At 39.8% G+C, this 14,456-nt stretch overlaps 1 protein-coding gene across 2 annotated transcripts; it reads left to right on the top strand.

Moving 5' to 3' along the window:
- Positions 1-269: 269 nt before the first annotated feature.
- On the top strand, positions 270-13,458 carry AGR2 (anterior gradient 2, protein disulphide isomerase family member). 2 transcript variants are annotated; one of them, XM_005249581.5, is made up of 8 exons: positions 270-316; positions 3,466-3,611; positions 3,886-3,949; positions 4,066-4,118; positions 5,452-5,525; positions 7,575-7,638; positions 10,250-10,333; positions 12,312-13,458. In XM_005249581.5, the coding sequence occupies exons 2-8, from the start codon at positions 3,473-3,475 to the stop codon at positions 12,359-12,361; spliced, it is 528 nt and encodes a 175-aa protein (XP_005249638.1). In that variant the 5' UTR covers positions 270-316; positions 3,466-3,472; the 3' UTR covers positions 12,362-13,458. The 2 variants fall into 2 exon arrangements, with proteins under 2 accessions (XP_005249638.1, NP_006399.1); NM_006408.4 differs by having other exon boundaries at positions 270-334.
- Positions 13,459-14,456: the final 998 nt, after the last annotated feature.

Raw genomic sequence — 14,456 nt, 5'->3', positions numbered from 1 at the left:
CTTCATTCAAAGTCTACCTGGATTTGGCACTCTGCCCATCGTTTCAAAACCTCTTAACAATACGTTTCACAAATAGTTAAAAACATGCATACTGAAAAGCATACTTTTGCAATGTTATTTTTAAAAACAAGGAACTCTTTAACCCAGGGAAGATAATCACTTGGGGAAAGGAAGGTTCGTTTCTGAGTTAGCAACAAGTAAATGCAGCACTAGTGGGTGGGATTGAGGTATGCCCTGGTGCATAAATAGAGACTCAGCTGTGCTGGCACACTCAGAAGCTTGGACCGCATCCTAGCCGCCGACTCACACAAGGCAGGTGGGTGAGGAAATCCAGGTAAGGCTCCTGACAGCAGCTTTAGAAGGGTACTTGCTGGAGTGAATTCGGGCCTCTGATTGCTATATAAAGTTGTAGGCAATCAAGCAACAGAGAACTGCAAGTTTCCAAAGGCAATGAAGTAGGATACGGAAGGGAAATCATGGAATTTCCACAAAAGTCTTACTGGGGCCTTTCTTTGGCTAGAGCTGGCACAGTGTGACGTTCCCGAGTTAGTTCAGAGAAATGCTTTCTCTTTTGCGAAACAAAATTTCCAAGAGTAGGTGAATCCTAGGATTTTTCAAGCCTGGGACAGGGTCCAGGGATTTTCGTCTCAGTCACCATCTAAAGCTTTCTTTCCCACGGGCTAAAGCAAAGCCCCATAGGCTTCTCCACTATGACACCTCAGCTCGGATTGCCCGCTTGGAATATATTATTGCAAATCAGAAAACAGTTTTCTTTCTCTTTTTGCTGCAAAGACATTCTTGTTGCCTCTGCAATCTTTAAATTCATGGGATAGGCTATTAGAGGAGAGAGCTGGTTGCTTTCCTGAAGCATCTACAAATAGGGACACTAAAATGTCTTGCAAGTTCATTATTTGCTAAAGACAAGAAGACAGGGATACGGTGATGAGTAAAAAGTGCTGGCTTCACATAATGTGTGTGTGTGTGTGTGTGTGTGTGTGTGTACCTATGTCTGTGTGTGTCTCCAAATTATCAATATTTTCCATGGAATTGTGTTTTGAGGTGGTTTATGCAGGAAATTTGCAGAGCAGAATCTATTCACATTACGAAAACTCAGTGGAGTGAATCTCAGAAAGTCACCCCACAGCAGGATGTTTGTACAGCAGGAGTTATGTTAGCCTTCCTTGAGTCATCCTGCCGTAAAACACAAGCAATATATCAATAGTTCCAACCTGTGATCTTTGGAGATACTGCAAGGTCCTAATAGCTACTTGGAAAACAAGAACTGTAAATGGGCTAAGTAAATAAAAATGCCTTACCATCAATTTACTATTTTTTAGAATATATATAGATGCTGTTATAAATAAAAGATAAAATCAAATGTTTGTTGATAGATTCAAAGAAATTATTTGCCATATGTTTCTGAACCAGCCAGTATTCCAAATGTATAATTATTCTCATGTAAAAGTTCTTGATTTTTTTAACATTACAAAGAAGTCTTTATACAAAGAGGGCTGAGAATTGTTGACTTACAGTGAACACTTAGGTTGTTTTTGCAAAACTCTAGAAGACAAAAGTTATTGGCATTTCCACATCTTTGTAGGTATAGAAAATGAACAAAGTATATCCCTGATTTTTGCTTACATCTTTTCTGAGTAAGACATTTTGTGCTTACATACTATGGATTAGTTAATCATTGGTCAGTTAAATACAAAACATCATTTCGATCTGGTAGCTTAGCAACACTTAAAAAAAAATCAGCTAATGCTTAGCAAAGGTTTCCACTCAAGATATTAGATTATGAAAAACTTCCTGCTTAACAATAGTAATTCCTTGCAGAGTTTATTTGACTTCATTCAAAACCATTCACCAATACTAGAGTTAGGTGCCGGGGTTTCATATTTCCTTTTTAGCACTTTTAGTGTTTGGTTTTATCAGAATCCCAAATCTCCAGCCTTCCATGTTACGGCCCCGTGGACAACCTTAGTGACTTGCTAGAGCAACTCACTTTGCTCCCTCCCTCCCTCCTCACTCACAAAACTTATCTTGCCATGTACTTTCCTTTTCATAGGCTTTAGTTTTTCCTGGGAATCAACTGTGGCATACCAGAAAGAAAAAGTAATTTAACTAAGATATCAGCTAGGCGTGGTGGCTCACTCCTGTAATCCCAGCACTTTCGGAGGCCAAGGCAGGAGGATCACTTGAGGTCAGGAGTTTGAGACCAGCCTGGGCAGCATGACAAAACTCCATCTCTACTAAAAAATACAAAAGCATAGCCAAGTATGCTGGCACGTGCCTGTAGCCCCAGCTCCTTGGGAGGCTGAGGAGGGAGGATCACTTGAACCCAGGAGGTGGAGGTTGCAGTGAGCCACGATTGTGCCACTGTACTCCAGCCTGGGCAACACAGTGAGCCCTTGTCTCCAAAAAAAGTAAATGTAAATTTTCTTAGCTACTAGAGTATGTATATCTATTTTCTCAAAATATATCTCTATTTATCTATTTCTATATAGATATATATATCTATATAGATAACTCTATATCTATAGAGATCTATATCTTTTTGTCTTTATCTATGTGGATCAATAGACAGCTATCCATACTATATACAAACAGTCCCAACTTACAGAAGTTTGACTTAATTTTTTGACTTTATGATGGTGCAAAAGCAATACACATTCAGTAGAAACTGTATTTCAAGTATCCATATAACCATTCTGGTTTTTACTTCCAATAGAGTATTCATAAAAATTACTTGAGATATTTAACACTTTACTATAAAATGGGCTTTGTGTTGGATGGCTTTTCCCAACTTTAGGCTAATGTGAGTGTTCTGAGCACATTTACGGTAGGTTCAGCTGTGGTGTTCAGTGGGTTAGGTGTATTACGGTAGTTCCCCCATTATCTGTGGGGGTTATGGTCCATGACCCTCAGTGGATGCCTGAAACCGCACATTAGTACCAAACACTACATATGCTATGTTTTTTCCTATGCATACATATCTATGATAAAGTTGAAATTATAAATTAAGCACAATAAGAGATTAATAAGAGCTAATAATAAAACAGAACAATTACAACAGTATCTTATAATAAAAGTTAGGTGAATTTGGTCTCTCTCTCAAAATATCTTATTGCACTGTGCTCACTTATTTTGGACGCGGTTGACCGTGGTTAGCTGAAACCGCAGAAAGTAAAACCCTGGGAAAGGAGAGACTACTCTGGATGCATTTTGACTTGCAATATTTTCAGTTTACAATGGGTTTATTGGAACATTACTCAATTGTAAGTCAAAGACCACCTGTATTCTTAGGAAAATCCCATGGAACAGAGCTATTTACGCCAATCTCGTATGTCCAGTCTCAGCAGAGCCTCAGTTTCTGGTATATTCCACCGTTGTGGGGCAACCTGCAGACCCTGAAGACTGCTAGTTCAATTTTGTTTACTGATTTTGGTTGGTTTTCCATACTAGAGTTGCCATGGAGAAAATTCCAGTGTCAGCATTCTTGCTCCTTGTGGCCCTCTCCTACACTCTGGCCAGAGATACCACAGTCAAACCTGGAGCCAAAAAGGACACAAAGGACTCTCGACCCAAACTGCCCCAGACCCTCTCCAGAGGTAGGAGTCAGCTTCTTGTTGGCTTCCAACTGCTACTTAATTGGAAAAGATTTCCTCTCTCTTGGTGCTTAAACCTGGTTCTAACCTGGTGCCAGGTTATTTTTGGTTGTGTTCCTTCTAGACTTATCACTGTTTATAATTATTTCTACTTTCTCCAGGGGTTTTTCTTCTTCTTTAGTATAGGGTCTATTATCCCAGTCTTTACCATTGCTTTTCAACAGCTTTGGGTCTGAATTTATACAAGCTTCAAATATACTGATTCATTTCATTCTAGGTTGGGGTGACCAACTCATCTGGACTCAGACATATGAAGAAGCTCTATATAAATCCAAGACAAGGTAAAGATCAGGATTACTCAGAGCTCCCTCAAAGCTCTCAAGAGCACCACCTAGTGACATCTAGATATATGTGAAATCTTACTCATTAAAATTTGTCTAATCTCTGTCTTTTAAAGCAACAAACCCTTGATGATTATTCATCACTTGGATGAGTGCCCACACAGTCAAGGTAATTTATTCTTCTAAGTATGATTTCCTTTATAGGCTTTTAGCCTTAGGGCCAGGGTTCAGATCACTCATGTTTGTATCTTTAGAACCACAGTTGCATTAAAGAAAGAATATTTTATATAGTAAAAACATATTTAAAAGTGACTTCAAATATCTCCACATTTTGTGATAACCATTGGTACATATTTTGAAAAACTAGTTTTAGGATTCATCTTCAACTTCTTGATTTCTCTTACAGTCCACATTCAATACACCAGCAAATACTGGCTTTATCTTCAAAATATATCCTTAAACCAGCACCAGCTTCACAGGCATGAAGCCTGTGCCATCTCACAGGGCCCCAAGCTTAGAAGGTTCCCAAACTTGGTTTAAACTTGGCTATCATTGTCTTAAAAGTCTTAGTAATTCTTCAACAAGGGGCTCTACCCTTTCATTTTGCACTGGGCCCAAATCCAACCACTTCCTATTGCCTCCATGCTACTGCCCTGGTCCAAGCCCAGATCAGATCTTGTCTAGACTACCATAACAGTCACCTAACTGGCCACCCTACAGCCAGTCCACACAGAAGCCAGAGTGAGGCTGGTAGACATAAATCAGATTCCATCACTCACGTGCTCAAGTGGCTTCTTATCACAGAACTAAATCCAAATTTCTGATCACAACCTATGAGGCTGACATGATCAGGCCAATGGCTATCTCTCCCTTCCTACCACTCTCCTCTTGCTTTCTTCACTCTCTCCAGCCTGGCCTTCGTGCTGTTCCTCCCACAGGTGAGCTCATTCCCACCTCACAGCTAGTGCTTTTGCAGTTCCCCCTGCCCACAGTGGCCTACCCCAAAATGGACCACTCCCTCACTTCAACGTTAGCTCCTCAGGAAGATCTGCCCTGACCACTCACAGTTTTTAAACCCTTTGCTTTGCTTTATTTTTCTTCAAAGTACATATCTCTACCTGAAAGTATCATCTACTTATTTCTTTGTTTATGGTTTGTCTCCCACACAAGTATGTGAGCTCTGTGAAAAAACACATGCTTTTTTTTGTTCACTGCACCATCCCTAGTACAGAACACAGTGCGTAACACATGGCAGCCATTCAATAAATATGAGCTGGAGAAAAAAATGAATTGATGAATGAATGGATGAATGAGTGAATAGAAAGCAGAGGTAGTCAATGCCATAGATATTACTTCACTAATCATTTGCTAAAAGGCCAAAGTAGAATACTGTATTTAAAATGCAATTCAATAAGTAAATAAAATGCAATTTAACTGAAAATTGAACAAAGCTTTTAACCAATGCTAAGATGGATGCTTAATGATTTTTCTTTATATTATAGCTTTAAAGAAAGTGTTTGCTGAAAATAAAGAAATCCAGAAATTGGCAGAGCAGTTTGTCCTCCTCAATCTGGTTGTAAGTTTCCTTTTCATCATTACTAACATTTCTCTATGGCTCATTACTTGAAATGGATGATTCATTTTTCCTATACATCTTAGTTATACTGCATTAACTGGGATTGCTTCCAAATATCCCATCTCATAAATTAGAGAGAAAAAAGATATTTCGTTGTATTAATAATCCATTTGGTGTGTCTGTTTTTATTTAGTAATTAATCATCTTAGTTTGTCTGAAAAATTATCTCCCGTAGTCAGAATTTTTTCTGTTGCTGGAAGGTTTTTGTTACTTGCTGTGCCTGTCCCTCTATAGTCCTGGCTTCTCTACACCCATTCTTAATCCTGGTCATCTCTTGGGAAGAGACAGCTCTCTGGCTTTCCAACTCTAATCATGCCTCTTGTGCTTTAGCTTCATGCATTCCCACCTTACTTCACCACTACCACCCCTCACGGTGCTCAAGCTTTCTGTCTCGGCAAGTTCTTTTTACTGTATACAAATGTTTCATTTTCCTTCTAAAAGCAAGCCAACAAAAAAATGACTCTACCTAATCATATGTCCTTTTGAGCCCTCCGGCCCTTCCTCTTCACAGGTTGGCTTCCTTAAAGACCACTTCGCACCAGTAGTTCTTCCTTGCCTCTCTTCCATGGGCTCTTCCTCTTCCTCTTCCTACTCCTTAATGTGAGTGACATGATGAATCTCTACTTGACCCTTTTCTCTTTCCATATTTTGTATTCAGTGAACAACTCCATCTACAACTGCCTTTAATCAATTCCGACACACTAATAATTCCTACATCTTACCCAAACATGAAACAACTTCCAAATTGTCTATCCAACCATATTCCAGATATCTCATAATCAGCTTAAACTCAGTATGTTCCTCACTGCACATTAATCATCTTGGTTTGCGCTTTTCCAATAGCTCTTCTTTCTCTATTCCCTATTTTACTGAAAGTGGTACTGTGCTAGATTGGACTCTCCTACTTACCTACAGCATGCAATAAGCCCTGTGCTTCTAAATTCCAAGTATTCCTGCTACTAGTCACTTCTCTATAAACTCAGGACCACTATTTTAGTAAGCCTCTTTCACTTTCCCTAGCTTACTGTAATACTGCTAAATGGCTCCTGGTCTACAAGATAAACTCTGTCTAATCCCACATGGCTGTCAGAGAAGTTGCTTTACAGACCAAACTGGGGTCACAGTGCCTCTTCTAACATCCCTCCAGTGGTTCTTAACTATTTCTGAACAAAGGAAAACACTATGGCATGGTGTGCAAAGTCATTCCTAAGCCGGCCCCTGAAGCAGCTCTAGCACCTTCTTTCGCCACTGCCCTCGTGCATCCCCCCAACTCAGTCCTTCCCCAGCACTTGGCCATAGGAGAAAATGCTCCACCTGTCCTCTCCATACTCTTCCCCCTGCATGAAGTGTCTTTCTTTTCCACCTAACTGACTCCTGTTCATTTGTAAAGATTCCTCCTTATCCACTTCAGAAAGTCCTAGTCGGGGTGGAATCTGCATTCTGGGCTAAATGTCTTGCTCAAGGCAATCACCAAACCTGCATATCCTACACCGTAACATTTCACCCACTGCATCCTCAATATTCATTTTCCTACCTGTATCTCTCAATAGAGTGTGCATTCATTAAAGATAAGCACCATGCCTTGCTAAATACAGTTCTAAATAAAAATTGATAAATGGATAAATGAATACTCAAGAAAATCCCGTACTTGTCTCCGTAATTTCTCTAGAAATGACATCTGCTTTTTTCCTTAATAGCCTCTTATTTCATCCCAGATGTCTTCCCCAAACACAGTAACTCCTTCCAAATTCTCCCTTAATTTTTTTGCTCTTTATCACATCCATTCAGCACTTTATCTCATGTTCTGCTCTATCTTATTTATTATTTCATGCTTGTAACTTGTCTCCTCATCTGTACAATAAACTCTGTGTGGAAGAGTTATGATATCTTGAGATGCCTGGCCGGAAATGGACAGATTCTTGTATTAACAAGTTTGAAAACGACTGAAAAGTCAAAGTAAACTAAAAGATGCTTTTCTTTTTATTTTAGTATGAAACAACTGACAAACACCTTTCTCCTGATGGCCAGTATGTCCCCAGGATTATGTTTGTTGGTAAGCGGAAGTGACAGTGAGATAACTCGGAAACACATACTAGTGCTGCCATCCTCCTTCTCTCCTCCCCACTGTCCCTTGCCACGTTGCCATGGCCAATGTCATCACTAAGCTCTAGCAAGGAGCATGACATTCCTTTAAGTTCCGCAACATATTTTCTTTAGAAAATGTGAGCTTTTACCTATTTCCACACAACACTTTCTTTTCTCACATGCTAATTGTAACTTTTCATCTTCTGCTATAATACTTCTGAGAACAAAGCACCCTATTCACTATTTAAACATATTGATAAATTTCCTGAATACGAGAGGCCTGCAAATATTTATTTTTTAATCCAGCAAACTTTCACTTTGTGTGTTAGATTTTTCTGACATTTTTTATCATTATTTTTAAGAAAGTTAGGAATAAGGCTGGGTGGCTCACGCCTGTAATCCTAGCACTTTGGGAGGCCAAGGCCGGCAGATCACTTGAGGTCAGGAGCTCCAAACCAGCCTGGCCAACAAGGTGAAACCCCATCTCTACTAAAAAATACAAAAAAAAAATTAGCCAGGCGTGGTTGCAGGAGCCTGTAATCCCAGCTACCTGGGAGGCTGAGGCACAAGAATTGCTTGAACCCAAGAGGCAGAGGTTGCAGTGAGCCGAGATGGCACCACTGCACTCCAGCCTGGGCAACAGAGCGAGATTCTGTCTCAAAAAAAAAAAAGGAATATGAGGTGGGAAAAAGAAATGAAAGGAGCCACATGCTCCTTCCTGCCACTGGTACTTTTCATATGCTTTCCCCACTTCCTTCTCTGTCCCCCAATTTCACATCATTAACTCCCCAATCATCATTATTCATTGACCGAGTCAAATCCCTACTATGTGCTCTTGTAGTCATACTTTCCTCAGGTATAATTTTGCAGTTTGGGGGTGGTTATGTAATAAATATTTCCCACATTGGACTATAAGCCCCTATGGCAGGGACTGTACCTATTTCTGCTCACCATGATATTCCCAACGTGACCCTGCAGTAGGCTCTCCATCAATATGTGTTTAATTATTGAATGAATGTACTGAGTTTGGCTTTGTTCAAAGTCATACTGATTTAAGGACAATCCATAATGAAATCCATCACTTACAACAATTCATGCTAATCATATGATTCACCTGTGTAATTCATTAAAAGTTTACACTGAATGTACAAAGCAGGGAAAAGAAAAACAAGAAATAGAAAAAAAGGAAGAAGGCTGAACTAAAGCACTAATTTTATAGGTTTAGTTTTGTCAGAATTTAGGACATTTGGAATCCTAACATTAAAAGGGAATTTATAGATGTCTGTTCATACCTTGTACAGGAATTCTTTGTACAGCATCCCTGTGGAAGGGCATTTTAACCCACATTCAATTCCTTCAGTCCTAAGAACCAGCTCCAAGGCAGCTTGCTCTTCTAGCTCCGTAGTAGCCACCCTGACTACATGTTTGAATCACCTGGAGGATTTTAAAGATCAAGTTGCCCAGGCCACACCTCAAACCAATTAAATCAGAATCTCTGGGGGTGGGAGGCAGGCATCCATAGTGTTTACAGCTCTCCAGATGATTCCAATGTGCAGCCAGGTGAGCTGCTAGTTGGGTATTTAAAAAGCCCTTCTTAGGTTAATTTCTTACAAAGATTAGACCGTGTCTTTGTATCCTCTGCACCAAACAGAAGTATAGTTGGTCTTAAATCTGGTGAATAAATGTACATCTGCTTCTTGTAATTTATGTGTCTGGCCTTAGTCCAACATTCTGAAATGACAGATTGCCCACTCCAGTACCAGCGACAGACTTTGCAAACATGCAGATGGTTCTCACATGTCTTCCTTGTCTCATTTTCAGGGCACGTGTCCTAGGTTCTTTCGATTACGTCTCTCAAGGCAAGGTTTCCAGATCTCTCTGTATCCTCACGCTTCCCTTTTGGATGCACCTTAATTTTAAAATACCTCTTTTTCTCATTAATTAGATCACTTCAAGTTAAATACAAAACATGGCAAGATGGATTTAAATTTAGAGGGATATAAGTATACATAAGAGAAGACCAATCTCTACTTTTAAAAATGCAGTTAATTAACAATAAAGTAAAATATAGTGAAGGTACTATATGCTTATTTGAACTTTGCTGTTGTTAAGGACTTGCATTCCTCTATTAACTTTTTTTAAAAAACTCGTTTTGAAAACTAGCATTGGATGTGGGTTTCCAATGATCTAGAAACATGTAAACTACAACATAATCGTTTCAAGAATTTAAAATAATTTTGCAGTAGAGAATGTTAATGTTTTCACCAAAAAAAAAAAAAACACCATGTCACCCCTAAATATATATTATTCTGTTTTCAGGTTGCCATAGATAGAACAGAAGGGTTCATAACCTTTTCCACAAATAGCACTGCACAGCTGTTGATGTTTCCAGCCCTGCATTTGCTACTAACTGCCAGGGGCTGGGTAGTAGAGTGGATGGATCAGAGCTCCTGTGAGTGCAGACACACTCCATTCCCTCACAGGACATGAATACATGAACTTCAGCTCCCCGGGGCAATAAATACAGGTTGTTTGAAAACAAACCATTCCATTCCCTTTTGCTTCATTTATCTTTGCAGACCCATCTCTGACAGTTAGAGCCGATATCACTGGAAGATATTCAAATCGTCTCTATGCTTACGAACCTGCAGATACAGCTCTGTGTAAGTGTGACCTTCAATTCGGATGTTGCCCAAGAGTTGAACACCTCTATTGCTGTAGTGATGGGACTAGAGGCTGCATGGTGAGGTGAGAGAGAGCTAGGCTTAGGGACGCCTCGGACTCAGTTTGACCCTAACTAGCCTTGCATCTTCAGGCAAATCACACTCTTTCCATCTCAGGTTTGTTTGTTTTTAATCTCAATTGAAGATGAATTATTTAGATTAGGTATCTTTTTCTCTAGGAGGATTCTATGACCACATTACCTGATTTTCAGGTTTTCTGTTAGGTACACGAGCACACACTCCTTCTATCACAGAACTGAGTGTAATAATTGTAATAATCTGCATGTCTTAATTTTTTAAATAACAAAAGTGAAAGAATGTGCAGTCCAGCTTAAAATTAAATTCAGGTTCAGTTTAAAGATCAGTTTCAAAGATGATCCAAATGATTGCCAAGAAAATTACCTTCCCTATGGTTGCCATCAATGGAAGAGAGACAGAGAGAGAGAGAGACACTGACTTAAGGCAGATGAGGTACCTCAATGCAACGCTGTAGCTAGCTGTGACATCTGATTAGTCCTCTGGGAAGAAAAGTGGGTTTTATCCTAGGAACCAACTCTGATCAATTAGTAGTGGCTGCCTAGAACTGCACTGTCCAATATGTTAACCATTTGCCACATGTTGCTACTTAAGTTAAAGTTAGAAATTCATTCCTTCAGTCACACTAGCCATATTCCAAGTGCTCAATGCCCGGACACTGAACATTTCCATCATCACAGAAATTTCTATTGGCCAGTGCTGACTTAGAACGTCATGTTGGGAAGAGAAGTGAGGCCGTGTCTAGGAAGCAGGAGAGATCATCATGGTCCATTAGCAATGTTTCCAGTGTGTGCTGGACCAGGGGAAGCACATTCCAAGTACTGTCAGCCATTACTGAGATAATACCATACATTTTAATAAGACTAAGCTCTTAAAAGGCACGTGTCCTACACAAGTAATATCACAATCCCTTGTAGAACAGGCACTTAATAATTAAGATTTGTAGGAAGAGTGAATAAGCGGCTGTTCAATGCCTATCGAGTGGACATCTTATTTTTAGTAGATCACATACCTCATTTTGATGAATTGCTGTTGAAGAAACAGTGACCCAGAGTTTGGGCTCTGGAACAGTAGCTCCATTACTTGTTAGCTGTGTGACCTTGAGCAAGCTACTCAGCCTCTCTCTGCCTGTTTCATTATGTATATATAAAGTTCTAATCGTGTTTGTATGAGGATTAAAGAATTCATCTGCATAAAGCACTTGGTTTGCTATTATTTATATTTCCCCTACTTCTAAAACAATTTACACACACCTACTAATAGACATTTCTTTTAAACATGATTTAAATTTACTTCTAAATGAGCCAAAATTATCTTCTGCTGCTAGAGCTTATAAAAGGATTCTTTTGGAAGTGAGGGTTGGAGATGAAGGATCTGGGAAGGAATGACTACACTAGAAAACTAGATTGTCACAAAAGCCATTTCATATAATTTTTTTAAATTACAATAAGATTACCAACTATTCACCTCATGATAAAAAGCATCCTATCAGGCTGGGCACAGTGGCTCACGCCTGTAATCCCAGCACTTTGGGAGGCCGAGGTGTGTGGATCACTTGAGCTCAGGAGTTCGAGACCAGCCTGGCCAGCATACCAAAACCCCATCTCTCCCAAAAATACAAAAATTAGCTGGGCATGGTGGAGCACACCTCTAATCCCAGCTACTCAGGAGGCTAAGGCTGAAGAATCACTTGAACCCAGGAGGCAGAGGTTGCACTGAGTGGAGATTGCACCACTGCATGCCAGCCTGAGTGGGAGTGAGACCTTGTCTCAAAAAAAAAAGCATCCCATTAAATAATGAATTGAGCATCCAAGTTTGGGGTTTATTATATCGATATAACGCACGATGGTGTCTTGACTCTCCTGCTTTTATCCCCCATTAGTGCTTGACAACATGAAGAAAGCTCTCAAGTTGCTGAAGACTGAATTGTAAAGAAAAAAAATCTCCAAGCCCTTCTGTCTGTCAGGCCTTGAGACTTGAAACCAGAAGAAGTGTGAGAAGACTGGCTAGTGTGGAAGCATAGTGAACACACTGATTAGGTTATGGTTTAATGTTACAACAACTATTTTTTAAGAAAAACAAGTTTTAGAAATTTGGTTTCAAGTGTACATGTGTGAAAACAATATTGTATACTACCATAGTGAGCCATGATTTTCTAAAAAAAAAAATAAATGTTTTGGGGGTGTTCTGTTTTCTCCAACTTGGTCTTTCACAGTGGTTCGTTTACCAAATAGGATTAAACACACACAAAATGCTCAAGGAAGGGACAAGACAAAACCAAAACTAGTTCAAATGATGAAGACCAAAGACCAAGTTATCATCTCACCACACCACAGGTTCTCACTAGATGACTGTAAGTAGACACGAGCTTAATCAACAGAAGTATCAAGCCATGTGCTTTAGCATAAAAGAATATTTAGAAAAACATCCCAAGAAAATCACATCACTACCTAGAGTCAACTCTGGCCAGGAACTCTAAGGTACACACTTTCATTTAGTAATTAAATTTTAGTCAGATTTTGCCCAACCTAATGCTCTCAGGGAAAGCCTCTGGCAAGTAGCTTTCTCCTTCAGAGGTCTAATTTAGTAGAAAGGTCATCCAAAGAACATCTGCACTCCTGAACACACCCTGAAGAAATCCTGGGAATTGACCTTGTAATCGATTTGTCTGTCAAGGTCCTAAAGTACTGGAGTGAAATAAATTCAGCCAACATGTGACTAATTGGAAGAAGAGCAAAGGGTGGTGACGTGTTGATGAGGCAGATGGAGATCAGAGGTTACTAGGGTTTAGGAAACGTGAAAGGCTGTGGCATCAGGGTAGGGGAGCATTCTGCCTAACAGAAATTAGAATTGTGTGTTAATGTCTTCACTCTATACTTAATCTCACATTCATTAATATATGGAATTCCTCTACTGCCCAGCCCCTCCTGATTTCTTTGGCCCCTGGACTATGGTGCTGTATATAATGCTTTGCAGTATCTGTTGCTTGTCTTGATTAACTTTTTTGGATAAAACCTTTTTTGAACAGATCTTTTGGCATTATTAATTTTTCCAGGGATATATTTTCAATCTTTTCTATCTCTCCTAGTGACTACTATCATTAGTAGGTGTTGAGCATATACTGCTGATTTAATGACATACAAATCTTCAGCAAAAATATCACAGGTTAATCAGCTCCCTTCTCACAAGTAGATAACTTACATGTGCTGAAAAAGGTAAAACATTCCATTTAAAAAGATCTCTGAGGGATAACAAGAGGAAAAAGAGGTTTCCCTTCCATAAACAAATATTTTAAATGACAAGTTCTAAGTGATTCAAGTTTCTCCTATAGTATAGCAAAATATTTTTTCATTGGGCGGACGTGAAATAAGGTTAACTTCTTAAAATGTATTGAATGGCAAAATATCTTAACACATACAAATACTTTTTAAATATAAATAAATATTTAGGAAATCAAATGTTACAGCTGTAAGGAAAATAAGTCCCCCTTTTAAAAGCATTGAAGAAACACAAAGCATGAGTCATTAATTGACTTTGTCCCATCAGTCTCCTCCACCACTGAGAATTTATCCTAAGGAAATCATTCAACAGAAACAGTTCTGTCAAGATGCCAATGGTAACATTATTTAAACGTACCACAGAAAAGCAACCTCCCAAAAATATAATGGCCACATGGTATATTAAGACAAAATGCAGTTTTTTAATCCTGTCTAGGTGAGTAGTCATAAAAATTCTTCTCTCCCTCCCCCTCCCCCTCCCCCTCCCCCCCCCCCCCCTCTTTCCACGGTCTCCCTCTCCCTCTCCCTCTATTTCCACGGTCTCCCTCTCATGCCGAGCCGAAGCTGGACTGTGCTGCTGCCATCTCGGCTCACTGCAACCTCCCTGCCTGATTCTCCTGCCTCAGCCTGCCCAGTGCCTGCGATTGCAGGCGGGCGCCGCCAGGCCTGACGGGTTTTCGTATTTTTTTGGTGGAGATGGGGTTTCGCTGTGTTGGCCGGGCTGGTCTCCAGCTCCTAACCGCGAGTGA

This window comes from Homo sapiens, chromosome 7, assembly GCF_000001405.40.
Source record: "Homo sapiens chromosome 7, GRCh38.p14 Primary Assembly".
Lineage (NCBI taxonomy): Eukaryota > Metazoa > Chordata > Mammalia > Primates > Hominidae > Homo > Homo sapiens.
This window is presented reverse-complemented; position numbering and strand designations above follow the sequence as displayed.